The 22,942-nt window shown below is 36.9% G+C and overlaps 1 long non-coding RNA gene across 1 annotated transcript in view; it reads right to left on the reverse strand.

Moving 5' to 3' along the window:
• LINC01339 (long intergenic non-protein coding RNA 1339) overlaps positions 1-22,942 on the reverse strand; it is a 131,733-nt gene extending 108,791 nt beyond the window's left edge. The window contains exon 1 of the long non-coding RNA NR_120601.1: positions 22,767-22,942. This is a non-coding gene — a long non-coding RNA (long intergenic non-protein coding RNA 1339). The remainder of the gene's footprint in view (positions 1-22,766) is intronic.

Raw genomic sequence — 22,942 nt, forward strand, 5'->3', positions numbered from 1 at the left:
ACTTGAGCTCACAAGCCCAGAGGGCCTGTAAAAACACAGATTGCTGAGCATATTTCCAGGGTTCCTGATTCCGTAGGGCTTCAGTAGGCCCTACTGATTTGCATTTTTATCAAGTTCTAGGCAATGTTATGCTTGCTTGTCCAGGGACCATGCTTTGAGAACTATCGGTCTCTAAACCAGTTTTTGAAAAAACTGCTGGCATTTTATTTCTAATAGCTTTTCTCTTGATGAAGAAAGCAAACTCAGGCTAATACTTGCCACATTACTTTGTTGTCATCTCTCTAATAGAGGGTTCGGGTAATACATTATGAAAAGTCTGGAAGTTTGCAGAAAAACAATAACAAAAAGGCACCCTGATTAAGGCATCTGGGGGCACTAAAAATAAAATAATGTCTGAGCTTCAGTTTTTTTAAATCATAACAGAGTGTAGTTAGAAGCCAAATATAGGAAAGATGGCCTTGTTTTCTGGTCCCTTCCCCCACTAGCCAACAACATTTAGACAACATAGAAGTTTACCCTTTTAGTCTCTAAAATAAAATAGCATTCACAGACTTAATTAATCAAGGTACCATTCATCATTGTCTATATAGTATTCACAAATTTACATACTAAGAGCCAGAAAGAAAGAGCCCCTGTGTAAACGAACTTGAACTCATCCGTGCCTGAATCACCGACTCAGAAGAACAGGAGCATGTTCAAGAGGAACTTCGCCAGGGCACGTGCTGGTTCTTAAGCCCACAACACAGAATTCAACAAACCTGTTCAGCAGTCTGGTCGCACAGTTGTAATATAATTTCATTTTTTCCTGGTTCAAAGAATGACCGTGATGAAGATGATCGTCAAAATACAAATATATATATACATATTTAATTTTTTAAAAATAGTATCAATTTGGAAAATGAAAATGACTGATGGTGAAAAAAGATTTTAATTATATACATAAACCTTGATGTTCTTGTGTTTTTTCTCCCATTTTTATTGAAGTACAGTATAATTACTTCTTTTTACATAAGACTTTAAGGTAAATTATCTTTTGTCAGTTTTCTAGAAAAATTTGATTTCATATTATGGCTTGATCTCAATTGATGCTATCAATTAAATGGCATTTTTCCTGAACATTAAGGGTGACTTCCCCTAAGTAACATCCCTGTTTTGGGTTTTTTTTGCTAAGTTATTACATTAAAATCTGATTCAATATATTATTTAAACTTTCACAGAAAATAATCTTTTCATTTAAAAATAATTTTCAAATATAAATGGTTTCCAAGCAGATTTTACTGTGCTTTTGCCTTATACTTATTTTTCTACCATTATCCCTGTTTTTCAGAAAAGCCAACCCAATCACAGAAAAACTAACATAGGTTTTGCTGTGATTGCAGGTGCATCCAGTGTGTTCCTGGGCTTACTTCATGCCTAAACCAACATTTTGTGTTCACTGTTATTTCTTCTAGGCCCTCCATTAATAGCCTCCTAATCCCAACATCTTTTGCCATTCTAGGCGCTTCCTTTCTCATTTCTTTTTCAGGTTCTGCCTACGAAAACCCTTTAATGGCTTGACATTTCTGAATTATAGCAAAAAAAATGTATTTCGCTCTGTGTAAATTAAACTGAATTATTTAGTGTTTTAATCATAATTTTTAAAAAATTATGAGTGGCAAACAGGGAATTAGTTTGTTCAGAACAAAAGCCTATGATAACATCATTCTTTTTTCAGGACAATAGAATACTATTTATTAAAAACAAACAAAAAAAAAACCCTAAATTCTGTCCTTTAAAAACAGTGTTAAGTGTGATCAAATATTGTGACTCAGAGGTTACCTGACAAAAAAAAACGTAATATTAATGTAAACAGCTAAAAACTAACCTCCTGTGAATACTAAAGCAAATAAATTATAATCTATTATTTCAGGTTTTCTGTTCTACAACTGCATTTTTATTTATACCTTTTCATTTCAAATGTATGTGCATAAAGTATTTTTATCCCTCAGTAAAAATAAAGCTAGATATTTTCTGGTAAACAGGTAAAACAGCAACTCTGTTTTACCTGTTTCTAAAATCTTCTCTCTGATGTTTTCATCACGGGTATCTTACATAGACTCTAGAAATGCAAAGGCAATACAAATGGTACGTAAGAACCTCCATTAATCTTTGTTTCAAGGAGAATGTGAACATTCTCTGTACAATTTAATATTCCGTGTCCACCCACAAAATTCTACAGAGAAGTGTGTGTGTGTGTGTGTGTGTGTGTGTGTGTGTGTGAGAGAGAGAGAGAGAGAGGGAGAGAATCGGTAAGTTTGATTTTAGTAGGAAATTAGTAAAATATGCATATTACAAATAAAGAGAGTACAAGTCCCCATCTGCCATTTATAGTAAGATTTTATATTTCAGAGCTTAATAATGAACCTCCCTGGGGAAAATTTAATAAAGCAGGTTCCCTGGTATTGCCAGCAGTTGGGTTTTTCTGCATCTCTTATTTTCTTACTCCCCAGGGGGAAAAAAATCTCAGTAAGATTTGTGAGCCTGTATCGAAGATAAATCTAGTGTAGTCTGGACTATACACCACCCAAACTGATCCAGATCTCCCACCCAACCCACTGTTCGTTACTGTTTATAAAGTGCAACATGCCCTGTGAAATGATAGGTTGGAGCATTCTCTATCTGTCCTTACCACAAGAAGTACAAAACCAGTTTAGAGTAACTGGAAATTGCAGTTTCAAATTTAAAGAAACACCAGTTATGTATAGGGTGGGTTAGGGATGGGGGTAGTTCTTAACTGTTCTTTTCTCCTACAGAACACTGAGCGTCTAAAACATGTTCAATCCTGTTAATGCTTGTCAAAAATTTCACAGTTCAGCTTTGTTCAGATTTTTTACTGACTATGAAAAATCAATTTGGTGGGATTCAGATTCATAAAGATGGAAGAGCTGCAAGAGACCTTAAATAACCTTGTTCTACCAAGTCTATAGGTAAAAACTGAGTCCCAAGGAAATTAAGGGACTTGCTCAAGGTTTCACATGTCCAGATTGGAACTCAAGTCTGCAGGCGTCCAGTCTATCATCCTTCCCACTGCTCATTTCATCTATTATTATACTTTAGTAATTAAACAATTTAGAGAAGCTATACAATGTGATTTCACAATTAACATAAAGCAGTCATATTATATCCAGGGTTGTGTAGAATTTCATCTGTGCAAAATTTCACTTGGTATTTAGTCATTACACTCAAATAGTATCATTATCTTTCAATTACAGAGATCAATTTTAGTTCATTAGCAAAATAAAATGCTTGCAGAAGGTCCACACAAATTCTTCAAAGCTGCAATCTTCTAAATGTCAGAATTGAAACACATTTTATAAAAAAAAACAAAATGTGACAAAAGTACTTGAGGTTAAACCACAGCTGTGCAAGACTCAGTGCCCTGCGTGATCATAAATCTGCTAAAAAGGCATAATTCAAAGTTCTGTAAAGGAAAATGTGTGCCATTGCCAACTAATAATATTGCCATTTTCCCCATTTCTTGGATTTTGCAGCTTTTCAAGAAAGATTTGGGTCATAGGATATTGTGACACAAATAAAGTATTATGAGTACAGATTCAACCTAAGATGACCTAGAGGCTGCATAAAGGGAAGATTAGATTAATGTTTAAGCCTTGCAAGAGGATTACTATCTATAGGCAAAAACAATGGCCCAAACAATATAGCTATTAGAAATGATGGTAACCTTATCAGGCTTTCTAAACTGAGAGCCTTAATTGCTATCCAGACAAACCCCAGTCAGCTAAACAGAGCTACCAGCAAAGGGGCAATATTATCAAGTTTAAGTTGATGCTAATATCCTTTTGATAAATCTGTGTTGATATAACTTGGGAGAAGTTATTTACAAAATATATATAAAGTTGTTGCTCCTTAATATGTTTAATTATTGTGAGGTTATCATACTAGAGTTTCTAAGATTATATCGATATTTCAGGTTTAACTTGTTAGAATATGTAAACCAAAACTACAGCCTTTGTTTTTCCAACATATTTTTATACTGTTGTACTTTTTTCTAAAGAAGGAAGTGATGATTTGCTCATACTATGATGTGGCCACACTGATATCACAGCTAATGATCCTTGTGGCACAAATTAAGTTTGCAATAAATGAGATTCTTTTTCTACTAATATGATCAGAAATTTAATACCCAAAAAGATGAAAGGTTTTCAATTTTACCTTTGTACATAACCCTTTTCAACATAAGTAAACTCTTCATAAATTTTGTTATGAAATTTAAATAATACATAGTCTTCTTTGTGATTACTTGTTTCATGGAACCCAAACCCTAAAATTCTCAATTACTAGAAATTCAAGAAGTTTATCATGTTAAACAGTTTACTAATACAGTAGAAAGATTAGAAATATCATTTTGTGCCATACCAACCAAGGGTAGTGGTATTCAGCGAGCCTGGATGGTAAGTAAAGCAGGCAAGCAAGTAAATAGAAATTAGGGGTGCACTGAGAGTTGTCCCATAAACATAAGTGAAGGCTAGGGAATAAGTCAAGAGAACAGAAATGGCCTTTCTTAAAAAATGGATCATGTTAGGCACAGTGGTTCATGCCTGTAATCCCAATGCTTTGGAGACTGAGGCAGGAGGATCACTTGAAGCCATGAGTTCAAGACCAGCCTGGGCAACATAGCAAGACCCTGTCTCTACAAAAAAAAATTTAATTAGCCAGGCATGGTGTTGCACACCTATAGTCCTAGCTAATAGGGAGGTTGAGATGAGATCACTTGAGCCCATGAGTTTCAGGGCTGCAGTGAGCTATATGATCATGCCACTGTATTCCAGCCTGGATGGCAGAGTAAGACCTAATTTCTTTTATTTCTTTAAAAAAAAAAAATGAAGCCTGGTCTAGCAACTAAACTCTTGAGGCAAAAATTAAATATTCTCATTTAATGGGAGGGAAAGATGGACAGGTAATTGTGAGATTATCAATAAGTGTGCACTGAAAGAGCATTGTACCCAGCAATCAAGTCTCCAAGGAAAAGAACTGTGTGTGTGTGTGTGTGATTGAGAGGGCAGGGGGAGGCACTGAGGAATATCCAGAGCTATGCCTGCCTTTGAGGGATTGAAGTCATCCTGTTTTGAAGGACCACTTGAGTGAGCCCCAGGAAAGTTTTCTGCTGCATAGACTAACAGATGGAGGAAGGCCAGAGCTCAATAACAGCAGAACACATCAGTGAAAAGCAAACTAACTGATGGCAGTCCAGTCACAAAGCTGACACAAGGCTCATCTGTGCTTGGAAGTACTGTTGGAGAAGGGCTTCCTCTGGGTTTGTAAAATCCCTTAAATTCTTAGACAATCTTGGAAACAGACTGGCCCCCTAAGTATGCAATACTATACTTCTGGCCAGCATGGCATGTGGAGGCTTAAGCCAATCCTACTTTAACCTAGCAAAGGAAAAACTGTGTGACTGTCCTTGCATGCAGAGCCTGGGGACTGCTTTATCCCAATTACATAAATACTTTGTTGTGTTGTTGTCTCTTCTGTTTTAAAAATACCACTACTGAAGGTAACTGCTACCTGTGCAGATGAAATGTACAATAAAATGTACAATGAAAACCCCATTGTACAGCTCTCAATCCATTTTACATTTTTACCTGCACACCTAGTCATTTGGATTATGATATTTACAACTAAATGCTTTATACAAAAAAAAACCCTAGTATTGTTGATACTCTTGATCGTACACTTTATTTCATAAACAAATCCATGATATTAGGAATGCTGATGGTGAAATTGTCCTTAATGTTGCTATTATTTAGAAATTTTCAGAAACGTCCTATCGTTTCATGATATGTTTCTCAATGTCCTGCGTTGTTCACTTATATTCATCTTTTACAAAGAAAACAGAATTAAGGGAAATGCTTAGAGATATATAGGTTGTCTTAATTTAACTCACAGATTTTTTAAAAATTCAAGCCTGGGGTTTAGAAAACAGGAGTAACTAGGAATGAAGCTCTCCATCAACAAAAACTTGGAGTGAAAAATAACAGGCTATCTTGAATAGCTTGGATATTCCATTTAAGGCCAAGAGCCTAGGAAAAAAAAACTCCTTTTAAAATTATTCCAGTTTTTGATTTCTCAAATGACACATTTATGTACTTGCATTAAACAGCAAACATTACAAAGAACTCTAAATTATCAGTTGGTCACCCTAATGAAAATCCAAATCAGTTCCCAAGGGTAAGCACTGTTACCAGTTACTGGTGTATTCGTCTAAACTATTTCCTATATACTTACAAAGATACATAGAATAAGTGCATAGTTGCCTTTATATATACAATTAGTACATGAAAATATGGTATTATTTGTTTGGTTTACATGAACAGAGAGAAGATATCTTTTAATTCTAAGAGTACATAAATTAATTATACTGAGAAAAATGAAACATTTTTTGCAATTATTGGCCTAGAAACTAGCACTGAATTTTGCTTCTGAAATAGCATATTAGCAGGAGCCTCTTCTACCTAAGGAGGAAAAATCTGCTTTAATAGCCCTTTCATATCCCTCATAGCCCAGTGACAGACAGCATATATTTAGCTTCACTCTCTTCCGCAAAACTGAAATGTTCTGCTCAGATTTTGTTATAAAACTTGTACCTGATGAACCTCAAGGCAAGTTGTGGAATCACATACCATTTTTGTCCAGCAACCCACTTTACTCATCTTTTATTGTCATTGCTTATTAAATTTGCAACACACACACATATATTCATACACACATAGAGAAAATTAAACCCTACACTTCTTCCCTTGAGAGAGGAAAGGAAAGAAAAACAGGAAAGTCAATATTCAATATTTGCTGTGGTTAAGTATATATATATGTATATGTTTATATATATATATATATATATATATGTTTCCCCTTGGAGGTTGCTGGATAGAGGATGGGTTTACAAAAAGTTTAAATAAATGATGAGTTCCTCTAAGACCTCCAGAGACTTCACATTTTTTAACTCTAATATTTGGGGGCTGTTCGATTTGATGTTTGATTTGAAATGAAAAGGTTTAAATAAATGCTTGGAAAGTATACTGGATGGCAGTATTTAGCAATCTTGTTTTCTTTACATAATGTAACACACTAATGGACTACATTTTTCTTTGCTTTCTGCCGTTAACTTTGAAAATAAGCAAGTTACTATCCAAATCAGAGCCAAAAACACCACAGGGTTTCTGGCTGCGAAGGGACACTTCATGCACAAATGTGGGAAAGGAAAAAGTTGATAAACAGCCAGTTGGGAAGTGTGAAGAGATTATTTTTATTTCATGGTGTTTTCAGTGTGTAGTATCTCAGATGTTCAAAAATATATCACTATGCCTGAAAGTTTACAATTCCCATGGTAGATATTATCTGATGTAGTAGCAGATGAAATACTTATAATGGGGACACTCTCCCTCAACCTCTCCCTCTCTTTTCTTCTCTCCACTCCAAATCTAACACAGTTAAAATAAAGCTTCATGGAAGTCAAGCTTAGGCACACTGGGATTTTAATGAATGAGTCCATGAGATGCAGCTCTTAAAAACAGATGCTGTCCCTCTGCTGCTGTTCTCTCTTCTTGGTTATTTTTATTTCTTTCCCAGTCAAAGAGGCTGGTACGTCAGGATGATTTTCCTTTGCTAACCATCCTTTTTCCAACATTTAACACCAAAGTATTATGTTCAGACCTCAAGGTTTACAATGATAGTGTTTGAATAAAACTGGTGGGAAAAAAACTTGAACAAATTACAATTTGCATTCTATTGTTGATTCTGTAGAATTTTAAAATGTATATATAAATATACATAGGAGAGTAAACACACACATACAATCAGACCACACTGGGTCTCTAAAATAATCAAGATTAATTATCTGATCAAAGTGCCAACCTATAACCTTTCTGTGAGGTTTCTAGTGCATGTTGCACATTTTCTTTTACATGAAACATTGCCTGCACTAGTCTTGCTCATTAGTTCATTCCTCTCATTGTCATTGCCTCTAATTATTTTATTAATTATGATCTTGACTTTAATATTTATAGATCATGCCAGTTTTATAACACAGGAAATGTTTGAAATTAAATAAAGAAAAATTGGAATTTCTTTAATTTAATCAATAAAGGTGTATCACTTGGGAGCATAAATGGGAAGTTAATTTGTTTCACAAAATAAATGTCACAATAATGGAAAGACAAAAATTTTAAATAAAATTCTCTGAATAGAGGATAAAGTAAAGAATATTTTCCTCTGATGTCCTGTAATAAATGAGCATGGAAATATAATCAATTGGCCCTGGTATAATCATGATTATAAATTGTGTTTTTTAATGTGCTCCAATATTTTGTATATATGCATCCCCCAAAAAAGCTATTTAAATTAAGCAAAGAAATTTATCATATACGAGCTAAAAAGTATACACATGTATAGAATGTTTTCTGTTGATAAGTAATAAATCTGTTGAATGAACATTCCAAAAGGCAGAAAATTTTTGTGAAACTAGGAAACAATTAAAAACCACCATTTAACATAATGGGTGGCAATTGCACGGATAACTCCCCCAGGTATTCCATGCCCACTCATTAGTTGAAAAGCAAAAAAAAAAAACACCCAGGATACATCTTGTTTCTTGGACCCTTCATCCAAAAGAAACCAAAGCAAATTACAGTATTTCCAATTTAATTTGGAAGCTAGTCAACCCTCTGTTTAAACTTCTGAAATAATATTGGTAAAATAGTCAGAATCACAGACTCCTATCTGCTAGCTTTCCAATGACATGTGGTTCTTCTGTTCCTATGCAAAGAAGGGATTTATTTCTAGTAAATAAGCTATTTCGTGGGAAAAAATAAACACAATTTCGTAAAGATAGGAATATTGCATAGTAGGAGACAAAGAAAAAAGCAGTGTGTTTATATCATATGTTTTAAAGTAGTTTCTTTTTAAATTAGCAATTTCATATCAAAAACAGGAAAATAACACATTCATAAGATATGGAAAAATCAGCTTCTGAGGAATAGTAGTATTTGGCAAATACAAAATAAAAAATACTGTAATGTCTGCTTTTGTAAATGTTGAAGATTAGTAAACTCAAGATAAACTTCAGAAATGAGAGAGACTCAGTAGCACTAAGAGAAATATAGGACCCAGAGAAAAATCTTAACAAAACTTCCTGCCCATTTTCCTTCTTAGTTTTACTGAATAAACAAATCCATTGGTGGAGTAAGGAGCTGGATGTTAATGCTTCCTCCTTTAGTCTGCCTAGTTTAGGAGTAGGCAAACAAGTGTTAGAAAATCTCTGAGCCTCAACCTTTTAAGGAAATGGTTCTCAGCATCGATAAAACACCCACAACTGCCTCTCTTTCACGACCTCCTTGAGAATACCCTTAAAGGTATCCTGCTCATAAAACTAATTCCATGGTTCCTCAAAAAGTTTAACATATGACCCAGCAATTGCAGTCCTAGGGATATGTCCCAAAGAATTGAAGACAGGATTTGAAACAAAAATTTTTACATGAATGTTCATAACAGCACTATTCAAAAGTGTCAAAAGGTGGAAACAACCCAAATACCCATCAACAGATGAATGGATAAACAAAATGTGGTATATCCATACAATTATTCACCTGTAGAAAGTAATGAAATATTGATAAACAACATGGATGAACTCTGAAAGCATTATGCTAAGGGAAGAAGTCAGACACAAAGGCCACATATTGAATGATTTCTTTCATATGTTATACACAGAATAGGCAAATCCACAGAGACAGCAAACAGTTCAGTGGTTGCCAGGGGCTAAGGAGAGGAAGGAACTAGGGAGTGATTGCTTAATGGATATGAGGTTTCCTTTTAAGTTAATAAAAATTTTCTGGGCTGGGCACCATGGCTCATGCCTATATAATCCCAGCACTTTAGGAGGCCAAAGTGGGAGGATTGCTTGAGCCCAGAAGTTTGAGACCAACCTACAAAAATTTTAAAATGTAACCAGGCCTGGTGGCACCAAAATGTGGTATGTGGTCAACTGGTGGTACATGAAACCACTTTAAGTGGTAAACAGCAAACATTAATTTTTTTTATCTATCATGTCAAATTTGTAATTTTGGAAGTGAAAAATACTTGTTTTAAAATAAATTTACTTAGGTAAAAGTTTTAATTGACTTAAAGAAAACAATTAAGCAGGCCAGGTGTGGTGGTTCATGCCCATAATCCCAGCACTTTGAGAGGCTGAGGTGGGAGGACTTTTGGACCCAGGAGTTCAAGGCCAGCCTGGGCAATATAGCAAGACCCCATTCCACAAAAATAAAAATAAAAAAATAGCCAGGTGTGGAGGCATGCACCTGTAGTCCCAGCTACTTCGGAAGTGAGGAGAGAGGATTGTTTGAGCCCAGGAGGTCAAGACTGTAGTAAACCATGACTGTGCCATTGCATTGCAGCCTGGGTGACAGAGTGCGACCGTGTCTCAAAAAAAAAAAAAAAAGTTCTGTACCAACATCGGTACTGATGGTTGCACAGCATTGTGCATGTACTAAAAGCCACTGAATTGTATGCTTTATAATGGTTAAAATGGTGAATTTTATATGTAAATTTTACCCCAAGTCCAAAAAAAAACCTAATTCTAGCACACACGACCTGGCCCAGAGCCTTCAGGGTTGATGTGCCTGGCCAAGAGAACTAACGACCCTGGCAGGTAAGACTCCTTGCATCAGTCCTACAAGGTGCACTGTCTTTAAGTTGGGTAAAATTTCTGCAGCAATGCCTCGATGCTCAAGTTTACTCTTTTAAAATTTGGCAGTTATGGTCCCAAAGATAAAAACTCCAATGTGTTAAACAGTAGGCATTTTCAAGAAATCTGGATTTTAGAATATTCTTTCCAAGTTCAGGACCTACTTTTAGCTCTTTGGCCATTAGACAAAAGAAATTTTAAAGCGAAAATAATCAATGACTTCCTTCTAGGGTATCCATCTAATCAGTTTCCTGGAAGACTTTTACTTTACATCTATTACCTTACTGTAATTATTAATAGTGTGCCTACCACTCTCAACTGTCTCAGTCTGGATGATCAATTATACAGTCTCCCTACTTCGAGGGGACCACTGTAAAGCTTCCCTATCTTTTCTATCCAACAGGAATCTTATTTGTGCCAGCTTTGACCCAGTTATCTGGCAAGCTAGATGGGATTTGTCTTAATATGTGCATTCTGTTTGCCAAGGCATACATAGCATGTTTGGACACATGGTCTCATTTTATAATCTTTTGCTCTTATTTATTCTTCATACTCTATGGTAGAGCTAATCATTTGTGGGAACCAAAATGTTAGGAATAGATGGCATGTCAAATGTTGCCATAGCAGACTTTTCTATGGGACATACTTTTAAAAATAATCCAAAAAAAAGTTTTAAACTTAATTTGAGTAGCCCCTGGTGTTATTGAATGGTAGTGTGTGAAGTAAATCTGGGTGAAATTTCACTCACATCTACTTTCTGGGATCAAGTCCTATAGATAATTCCATAGTTATCTCCCTATACTTATGAACATCCCTCTAGGTAAAAAGCAGTCATCTTAAAAAAAAAAAAAAAAAACCTACGCATAGTCTCAAAATTTATCTTCATACAAGATTAGATCAGAGAAGTAAGTGGGCTGAGAAGACTGAAATGGGCTGAGAGGTTTTCAAAATAGATTGCCATTGAACACATCAAATTTAATACATTCCTCATTCCTCTTAAATAGCGCTGTCTGCTTCTTATATCCTACATCTAGAAATTGCTTACTTCTAGAAATTTGGTGGCATAATGGTGGCATACTTCAGGATTTGACCATCAAAGTCATCCCAGGCAAAAATTACTCAGGCAATACTTTAGTTGGGCTACTTTGATTACAACAGAGGCTCACACGAGCCTTCTTAAGAGAAGGGAAGTTTACTGTGAAATTACCCACAGGCTTAAAGAACCACTTAATGGCTACATCAGCCTCTCCCGGGGTAGGTGGTCATAATTACTGCTCTCCTTTGCTTATTCAAAATGTATGCTTCCTCAACACTTTGGTTTCCTATGGCTCACCATGGTGCCAGCTTTACACCATAGCATCCTCTCAGCTTCAGCTCCTACTTCTTTCCATTTAGTTCAGATAAGTAAAGGAGAATCTGATTGGTCCAACTCATCGCATTTCTGCCCTTGTTTCAGATTAATCATCCCTTTTCCATCCCCCCAACCAAGTTAAACTGTTTTGGCCAAAGAAGAAAGGCCGGTTATGTAATACAGTTAAAATCCCTATCACCTCCCTATCATCAGAGGTTTTAAGCAAGATAAACTTCAAAACTGAGAGGGCCTCAGTAGCACCAAGAGAAGTGTAGGACCCAGACAAAATACTTAACCAGAAGTTCCTGCCAAATTTCCTACTTTGTTTTACTGAACAAATAAATCCGTTGGTGGAGTTAGGGTTCAGAATGCGAGATTCGGCATGCCTAGCTGGGGCAGTTAGGCCTTCGTATTTTCCTCTCACGCATTTCAGTCCATCTCCATGAAAAAGTAGTTCCGTAAAACTGCCCTTCCATTCCATTCCAATTCTGGCTTCAACCTTCCCTGGATCTCATTCTCATTAACAATTACTTTTAACTAGATATCAAATATTTCCAACATAAATTGTTAACTAGTGACAACATGATGCTACTTCCAGGAAATTAGGAGATTAATCTCTTCTCCTGTTTCTCAGACCTTCATCTTCCAAAATGTTTATTGGGAACATAGAAAGAGAACAAAAGATAGCCCAAACATGCATCTCTAATGATACACATGCCTTTATCCTCCGTACTCACTCTGACGCTTCCCTGTGCTTATTTCACGTCACTCTCCTGAACCTTGACTGCTGGCATGATTACATTTAAATTAGCAACTCCTAACAGCTAATGCCAATATAGTCGTAACCTATCAGTACTATTAAAGAAACATTTAGGAACAGGAATTTCTGCCAAGCACCCCAATTACATCATATTTTTATTTACTAGGTCAGCTCAGGATTTTCTTGCTTTTCCATTTAATTCAAATCAATGCCTAATCAAAACACATTATGATTTATGTATATATTTCCATGACACTGCTTCAAAGCACAAAGCTTATGTAATAAAGTCTGATTTTTGGAAAGTATTTTTTAAATTACAAGCATGAAAGTGCGTATTTTGAAAAACCTTTCTGCAGAAATGAAGGCCAGCCAGCTAGGGATAAAACATTGTAGATCTTTGCTGCACAGTGAGAATAGCAGTTTCTACAAAATTTTAAAAGTTGAATAATACTTACTAAAAGACAACATAGCACAATATAGTACTATAGAAAATGTATTTCTTTAATAAAAGCTATCTCCTTGTCCTCAGAGTGCCTATAATATGTTGATGGGTCCTCAGTATTATCATCCTTGTTCGGGTTCTGAAGTTTTCAATTGAATAACTTTTTCAGAGACTTGGGGAAAATAGTGAGCGAACAGCCCTAGAACGCTTCTCTGGGCAGAAAAAAAAAAAATCCCATGAAATGTAATGTGTTAAGAAAATATCTTTCTTATCTCTCTAGTACCCCAAGCGAGCCTGTCTAATTCTCCCACTTGTCTGTGTAGGGATCATGCCAGCAGCCAAGGTTCAGGAGAGTGATGTGGAATAAGCACAGGGAAGTGTCAGAGTGAGTACAGAAGATAAAGGCACACCTATCATTAGAGATGTATGTTTGGGCTATCTTTTGTTCTCTATGTTCCCAGTAAACATCATTTTGGAAGATGAAGGTCTGAGAAATAGGAGAAGAGATTAAAGATGTCAGGCAAGGGAAAGGAGGAGAAGCAGATAAAAAAACTGACATCCCAGAAGGTGGGGATTTTCCCTTTTCTGGGAAGCAAAAAAAAAAAAAAATCCTCTCAAGCAAATTTAACACCTTCATGAATATAATTAATTTATTATCACTTAAAATAAAACATAGCAATAAAAACTCAGGCTAATCATGTGCAAAAGTTACTGTTTTCAGACACAGACCATGCAAAGTCCTCAAGCTTATAAAAGATTACATTCTGGAACATGAGCTATCAGATAAAATTACTGGATCTTGATTTTTTAATGTTATAAAGGGGCAGTGGGGCGGGGGGGCAGAGGTGCATGTTCTTGCCTAAAGCCTAACATTAAACATTTTGTAAGCAAAGCAGAAAAGAGCTCTTTAGTACCCCCAAAATGTCTGTTTTAGACTTGTACAGATAAAAACTTTCTAAAATATTGAACAGCACAAAGTATGAATCCCAGCTCTATAATTTTTCTAGCTATGTGACCTCAGGCAAGTTATCCTCTCAGACTCAGTTTCCCGAATTATAAAAATGGAATAATAATGGCACCTATCTCATGGGGTATTGTAAGAGTTAAATTAGATAACCTATGAAAAGCACTCAGCAATGCCCAGAAAAGTGTATGCGCTCAATAAAGGTTAGTTGTTGTTAGTAGTATTATGTGTAATTATTAATAACCAGGCTCATGTCTTGCCACTCATCCTGTAAACTGCCCTGGTTCATCAAACCACATTGCAGCCCATAAGTCCCAGACAAAAACATCAGATAATGCCATTGTATAGAATCCTACATATTTATTCCTGACATCATTCTAATTCAGTCACTCCTCTTCACTCCTCCACCTGACTTGAATCATGCAGACAGCTTCCAACCACCCCCATGTGCCTTCTTCATTTTATTTATTTATTTTTATTTATTATTACTTTTTTATAGACAGCGTCTCACTAATGTTGCCCAGGCTGGTTTTGAACTCCTTGGTTCAAACAATTCTCCCACCTCAGCCTCCAGGGTAGCTGGGACTGAAAGTGCCTATTACCACTCCTGACTCCATGTGCCCTCTTTAGCTCCAGCCCCCATTCTGGCCTCCATCACTTCACTGGGACCTGCTCAAGCTAGCTGTGTTCTCTGTACCAGCCCCACTGCCTCAGTGAAAAGATTAGATCACCTTAATAAATCATCTAAAATTACTTAATACAATCCAGTATAAATGTATAAAATGTAACATCTTCATAATTTCCCCTTAATTCAATTAAATCTTGATTCTTCCCTTACTCCTCTCCAACCAAAACCTGTTCCTTCCTGAGACCTCCTCATTTCAGTAAAAAGCACCTCTAGCACTTCCCCAGAATTCTAAATGTTGATTCTTTTCTTTTCTTACTCCCTAAATTCAATCCATTGGCAAGTTCTATAGTCTCAACTTTAAAATACATCCTGAATCTTTCCCCTTTTATCTCCATTACTAACACCTTTGTCCTTTGTAGAATCAGCATCAGCACAACCTGCGAACATGGGCGCCATCCCACTTGTATTGAATCAGACCCCAGGGGGAAGAAGCAGGTCTATCAGCTTGTTCAGCCCTCCCTTCTGGTGATTCCCATGAACACTTTCATTTAAGAACCACTGCTCCCATCAAAACCACTGCCATTTCTCCCACTGGGAATATCACAATAGCCTTCTGACTCATGTCCCTGACCCGACTCTTTTGCTCCCCAACAATCCATTTTCCACACAGCAGCAAGAATAACATTTTTTCACTTAAAATCCTCCAATGACTTCCTATGTCCATTAAACTAAAATCCATTTTTCTTGCTCTGGCTTACAAATCCCTTCATGAGCTGGCTACATCCTACTTTTCCAACTGCGTCTCTCTCTAGCATCTTTTACGAGCTGGTGACACTGGTCTTCTCTTGCCATTACTTGAACATATTCTGGTTTCTACCACAGGGCCTTGGTAAAAACTTGCTCTTCTGCTGGGATCATTCTTGTCATTGGGATCCCAACTTCAACGTTTGCTCCTCAGAGAGGTCTTCCCATTATGTTATTTAATAAGCAGCTTCTGGGCTCCAATAAGTCATCACAATCAGATAGTCAACATTCATTCTCTAAGTATCACTTACTGTGATCTCATAACTTTCTTATTTGCTAATTTGAGATCTATTATCTTTCTTCTACTAGAATAGTCTAAGAGTAAGGACCTCATTCATTGTATTCACTCTTGTTCACTCAGAAACTACAACATGGCCTGGCACGGTGGTTCACGCCTGTAATCCCTGAACTTTGAAAGGCCGAGCCGAGCAGATCACCTGAGGTCAGGAGTTTGAGACCAGCCTGACCAACATGGTGAGACCCCATCTCTACCAAAAATATAAAAATTAGCTGGGCGTGGTGGCAGGCACCTGTAATCCTAGCTACTTGCAAGGCTGAGGCAGGAGAATTGCTTGAACCCGGGAGGTGGAGGTTGCAGTGAACTAAGATCACGCCACTGCACAGCAACAAGAGTGAGATTCCATCTCAACAACAACAACAACAACAAAAAAAAAGGCAGAAAGTACAACAATCACTGGCATATGTGCACCAAATGTTTAATAAATATTAATATTTAACAATAATTAATAAATAAATTATTTATTGAAATAACTCATTAATTTAAATAAAGCAGCAGAGGAAGAAATATTTTCAGCAGTTTCAGGGAATTTGGAAAGTCTTCTTTAAGAAGACTGTGTCCCGTTACCCTGAAAAGAGGCAGAGTAGGACAATGGATTAAAACTAAGCTTGGAATCAGATCAAGCAGGGTTCAACTCCTAGGTCTACCTCTTACAACACACAAAAAGTATCTCTTTTTTTTAACTTGTTCAACTTCTAAAGCAATTTTTTATCTTTCATTTTTTTTTCATTTGTTTTGTTTTTGGAACAAGGTCTTCCTCTGTCACCCAGGCTGGAGTGGGTGGCATGATCACTGCTCACTGCAGCCTTGGCCTCCCAGACTCAAGTAATTGTCCCACCTCAGCCCCCTAAGTAGCTGAGACTATAGGTGTGTGCTACTGCACCCAGCTAACTTTTTATTTTTTGTAGAGACGAGATCTCACAATGTTGCCCAGGCTTGTCTCAAACTCCTGGACTCAAGAATTCCTCCTGCCTCCGGCTCAACATCTTCCTCTCAGGGTCATTGTTGGGATTAACTAAAATGATGTAACATGGAACATCACATATAGTAGATCTACTCTGTAAATTATACCTTGAAACTTTAAAGAAGATTTGGAGTTCCTTGAAAAATATATGTGTCGTATGACAATATAAATGTAAATCAAAACAAAATAAAGAAATAGTTCACCCTATAATCTTGTTTCCTTCAAAGAAAAAACTATTTCACCTTGTCATTTCCCTTTCACATATACATACAATTTTTTTACATAATGAAAATCTTAAAATGGGTTCAATTTTGTAATTTCTTGCCTTTTTGAAAACCCAATTCAAAATGTCTCCTTTTCTGTCTCTCTCTCTTTTTTTTTTCTCAAGCAGACAAAGTGATCAAGTTGCTGGTTTCTCCTGCCTTTGAAGCCGAAAGTCTTACTACCTTCTTGTACTGCTCTCTACATTAGCAATTTCATCTTGCACTCTGATATTATGAATGTCATGCCTTTAAAATGCATGAACCAACCCTTATTTGCACTAAAAATTCCAAGCCTTTGATCATTCCTCATCCTTTTGCTCAAAAATAACTGCTCCAGGTTTTGACTTGAATAATGGTCAACTCAAAAGCACACATCTCCATGTTTGATCATGAATCTGCAAAATTAAAAGTCTTTGTTCTCATTGGAGCAATGCTGGTAACAGGAAAAGGAGTGAATCCAGGAGGCAGATAGAAGTTGGAAGTCACAGAAATATGATGAGTATCATCATTCTGGAGACAGCCTAAAGTGCATAAGTTGTTGGAGTGCTTGTGGCCACTCTGAGTGTTGTGAAGGGATGACATAGGTACAATAAGGAAACTATTGTAAACTAATAGATTTTGAAAAGTAAATAAGGGAAAGTGAAAGTCTCCAAGTTTACAATCTATCCAAGTAACATTAATTGAATGCTTACTGCATGCCATGCAATGTGATAAATTCTGGAAATATCATGATGATTAAAAATAAATAAGCCAGGCAGGGTAGATCATGCCTGTAATTCCCAGAGCTTTGGTAGACCAAGGCGAGGGGATTGCTTGAGGCCAGGAGTTCGAGACCATCCTGGGCAACATGACGAGACCCTGTCTCGAAAAAAAATTTTAAATTAGCCAGGTGTGGTGGTGCATACGAATAGTCCCAGCTACTCAGAAGGCTGAGGTGGGAGGATCATTTGAACTTAGGAGTTTGAGGTTTCAGTGAGCTATAATTGCAGCACTGCACTCTAGCTGGGGTAACAGACTGAGACTCTGTCTCTAAATAAATAAATAAATAAAACTGAAATCTGAGCATAGTTCCTATTCCCATGGACTTTATAACCTAGTATAGGAAATAACAATGATTCCACTAAACACTTAAGTACACATCAGTTTACGACTGGTATTATCATTGGAAAGAAATGTGTGTAGTATTATAAAATCATGAAAAAATTGGACTTCACCTGAACTTGGGGCTCAAGGAAGGCCTCTCTGAGAAAGGAGTATTTGATCTGAGATCTAAAAGTAGATGTTAACTAGGTAAATGTCTATGAGTTGGGGTTTGGAGGGACTGGGAGTACAGAGCATTCCAGACAGAGAGCACAGCATCCACAAAGGCCCTAAGTCAGAAACAACAAGGCCTGTTGACAGAACTGATAGAAAACCAGTATGACAATGGCTAAAATTGCTCAGAAGGTGAGTCAGAGCACCATGCAAGTCAACGTTGGGATGTGTCTAAATCAGTGATAGAGCTGTAACTCACAAAGTCAGCTGTGAGGATTAAAGAAAGAAAATAAGATAACCTTGGTAAGGAACATAGTACACTGCCTGGCACAAACCAAAGCTATTTGTAAGTGTTCCCTATTCTTATTATCATCATATTCATTACCATGTCTACTTGCTCATACATTAGCCATTTCAACTTTTCTGCCATCTTACCAAGTCAGGTCAGGCCACTATTGTTCCTCACATGGATCACTCCAATAGCTTGCTTTCAAACTCATTCTCTACACTGAATTCTTCCCTTCCCACATGAAAGCATTTAATGATTCCACCTCTGGTTAGTTGTGTATAATTTTGGCTTTGAATATGGTTCATTGTGTACAATGCTTATAAGGTTAAAAGCCAGACATTATTTATACCAGTCAAAATACATAGAAAATACCGTCATTACCACCCAAGATAGTGATAGAGATGGCTTAAATATTATGCGCTTAAAATGCCAGGTAAAATTAAAATATCATCCAGAGTAATTATAACTTTAACTAAGGAGTCACCTGTCAGGTAGGATCTCCAAAATACCAAAAACTATATTGAGTGGGGAAGGTGAGGCTGCATCTGCTCAGTGGAAGATCTAGGGAGAGCTAGAAATACCAGCTGGAGCCTCTGATCACTTTAAAGTACAGCCTTCAGTAAAACCTCTCCAGAGTGAAGTTCCGTTGACAGTCATAGCTCTCTGCTCCCGCCAACCAAGTCTAGAGCACCGGCCCAACTAGGACCCCAACTTCCTCATCAACAGTGTAAGAAGTGAAGCTGGGAGAGCCACATAAGCAATAGAATTTCTAATTAACAGCGGGGCACGGTGGCTTACGCCTGTCATCTAATCACTTTGGGAGGCCGAGGTGGGCGGATCACTTGAGATTAGGAGTTCAAGACCAGCCTGGCCAATATGGTGAAACCCCCTTTCTATTAAAAATACCAAAATTAGCCAGGTGTGGTGGCACACACCTATAATTCCAGCTACTCAAGAGAGTGAGGCGGGAGAAGAGCTTGAACCGGGGAGGTGGAGGTTGCAGTGAGCCAAGATCATGCCACTGCACTCCAGCCTGGGTGACAGATCGAGATTCTGTCTCAAAAAAAAAAAAAAAGAATTTTTAATTAAAGACCCAAAAAGTCTTCTCTTTTTATTTTGAACTTAGTCCTGGCTAGCCTGTAGGTAAATACCTACCATAATAAAGGAACTTAAATGGCATAGTCTGCAAAACCAAGAGAAGTACAAACATAATAGAGTCACCTTCTAAATAAAACCCTTCTAATGATTCACATTGCCTTAAGATAAAATCACTCCATGTAGAGCTTTTTATGATTTATTATCTATACCCTCTGAAATTCCTCCAACCTCATCTCTCATTACAACCCACACTCACTCAACACTCCAAACTTAACCACAGCTTTTGAAATCCCTTGAGTGGACTATGCACCAGCTCATCTTTGGGTCTTAGGATATAGGCTACTCTATCTGCCTAGAATTTCTTCCCTCCCTGCTACCAATTCATTCTTCAGGACTCAGCTGAGAAATTATCTTCCATGGCCGGGCACAGTGGCTCATGCCTGTAATCCCAGCACTTTGGGAGACCAAGGTGGGCGGATCAACTGGGGTCGGGATTTCAATGACAGTCTGACCAACATGGAGAAACCCCGTCTCTACTAAAAATACAAAATTAGCCGGGCATGGTGGCGCATGCCTGTAATCACAGCTACTCGGGAGGCTGAGGCAGGAGAATCACTTGAAGCCAGGAGGCAGAGGTTGCAGTGAGCCTAGATTGTGCCATTGCACTCTAGCTTGGGCAACAAGAGCGAAACTCTGTCTCAAAAAAAAAAAAAATTATCTTCCGAAAGATGCCTGTCCTAAATACCCTATCCTGGGTTTTGTGTCTCTCCTAAATGTTCCCACAGCACCCTGTATCTATGCTTAGTAAACCACTGCCTGTTTTTGCACTCCACACAACCACACTAGATTGTGACCTGCCTGAAAGAAAATACAGTGATGTCTTCATTCATCTCTTTTTTCTTTTTTGTTTTAAATAATTTCAACTTTCATTTTAAATTCATGGGATACAAGTGCAGACTTGTTACATGGGTATATTACATGACACTAAGGTTTGGAGTACAGATGATCTTGTCACCCAGTAGTGAACATAGTACCCTACAGGTAGTTTTTTACCCCATACCCTTCACACACTCTCCCTCAACCCCAGTAGTCCCCAGTATCTGTTGTTTCCATCTTTATGTCCATGTGTGCTCAATGTTTAGCTCCCACTAAATAAGAACATGCTGTCCCTGTGATTTTTGCTTAGAATAATGGCCTCCAGCCTGGATCCATATTGCTGCAAAGGACGTAATTTTATCTTTTTATGACTATGTAATATTCCATGGGGTGTATGTATGGCATTTTGTTTATGCAATCCACCATCATTGGGCACTTAGGTGCTATTGTGAATAGCACTGGGATGAACATACAAGTGTGTATGTCTTTTTTGTAGAACAATTGATTTTCCTTTGAGTATATACCCAGTAATGGGATGGCTGGGTCGAATGGTAGTTGTATTTTAAATTCTTTGAGAAATCTCCAAACTGCCTTTCACAGTGGCTGAACTGATTTAAATTCCCATCAATAGTGTATGAACATTCCCTTTTCTCCACAGTCTCAGCAGCATCTGTTATTTTTTGATTTTTTAATAATAGCCATTCTGACTGGTGTGAGATGGTATCTCATTGTGGTTTTAATTCATTCACCAAATTGAGAGTTTTCTTTATTCACAGTAGTGAATAAAAATAAAGTCCCTATCCTCAAGGAGCTTATATACTTTATTTAGCTTGTCTTTCCAGCAGGTAGCAGCACATAGTAAACAATAGATGAAGAGAGTTTGAGTGGATAGGAGTTGTTCTTGTCATTGTTATTAGTTGGGAAATCTCTGAGAACAACCTTGCCCAGGGCAGGAGAGTTTAGAACATTTACTTTGTTTATAATATTTATTTATTTTCTGGTTATTGAAAACTATATTCAGTATACAAAATTATATATATATATATATATATATATATATATATGTCGAAAGAAGTGAGTAGAAACTCAGCTGAAAACACATATGAAACATTTATTGATATTTTATGTTTTCTTGCTGTATGTTTCTGTGTATGTGTATATGTAAGGATATGTACAGTTCTTCAATTGCTTTATTGGAATATAATTCATACATCATACAGTTCACCCATTTAAAGTGTTTTTTGTATGTTCACGGGATGGTACAACAATCACCACAATCTAAATTCTAGAACATTTTCATCTTCCCAGAAAGAGATTCTACATACCATTTAATTAGCAATCACCCCCAACATTGCACTCCCTTGCTCCAGGCAACCACTAATCTACTTTCTGTCTCTATGGATTTGACTATTCTAGGCATTTTATATAAATGGAATTATACAACATATAGTTTTGTGATTTGCTTCCTTCACTTAGCATAATGTTTTCAAGGATCATCCATGTTGTAGCATGCCAGTACTTTATTTATTTTTATAGCCAAATAATATTTCATTGTGTAGGTATACCATATTTTATTTATCCATTCATCACTTGATAGACATTTGGGTTGTTTCCACTATTTGGCTATCAGGAATAATGCTGCTATAAACATTCATATACAAGGTTTTGTGTGGTTGTATGCCTTCATTTCTTTTGCTTATCTGCCAAGTAGTAAAATTGCTGGGTAATACGGTAACTCTGTGTTTAACATTTTGAGCAAATACCAAACTGTTTTCAAAGTGGCTATACCAATTTATCTTCCCACCAGCAACAAATGAAGGTTTCATTTTCTCCTATATTTCTTAACTTAGGGAAGTTCTTATTGTATATAGGTAAGATTTTACTGTATAAAGCAGACTTAGGTTCTGCTTTACAAACTACACAAGTGCTTCTCTCTTATAAAAGAATTACTTGTAATGGCTGTATTAGTCTGTTCAGGCTGCCATAACAAAATGCCACAGTTTAGGTGATGTAAACAACAGAAATGTATTTTCTTACAGTTCTAGAGGCTGGAAAGCGCAAAATCAAGTTTCCAGCGGGGTTTAGTTTCTGGCAAGGGCTCTCTTCCTGGCTTGCAGACGGGTACTTTGTCCTCAGATGACCTTTTCTCAGAGCACATGCCTAGAGAAGAGAGAGAGAGCTCTGGTCGATCTTCCTCTTCTTATAAAGACAAA

The sequence above is a fragment of the Homo sapiens genome, chromosome 5, assembly GCF_000001405.40.
Source record: "Homo sapiens chromosome 5, GRCh38.p14 Primary Assembly".
Classification (NCBI taxonomy): domain Eukaryota; kingdom Metazoa; phylum Chordata; class Mammalia; order Primates; family Hominidae; genus Homo; species Homo sapiens.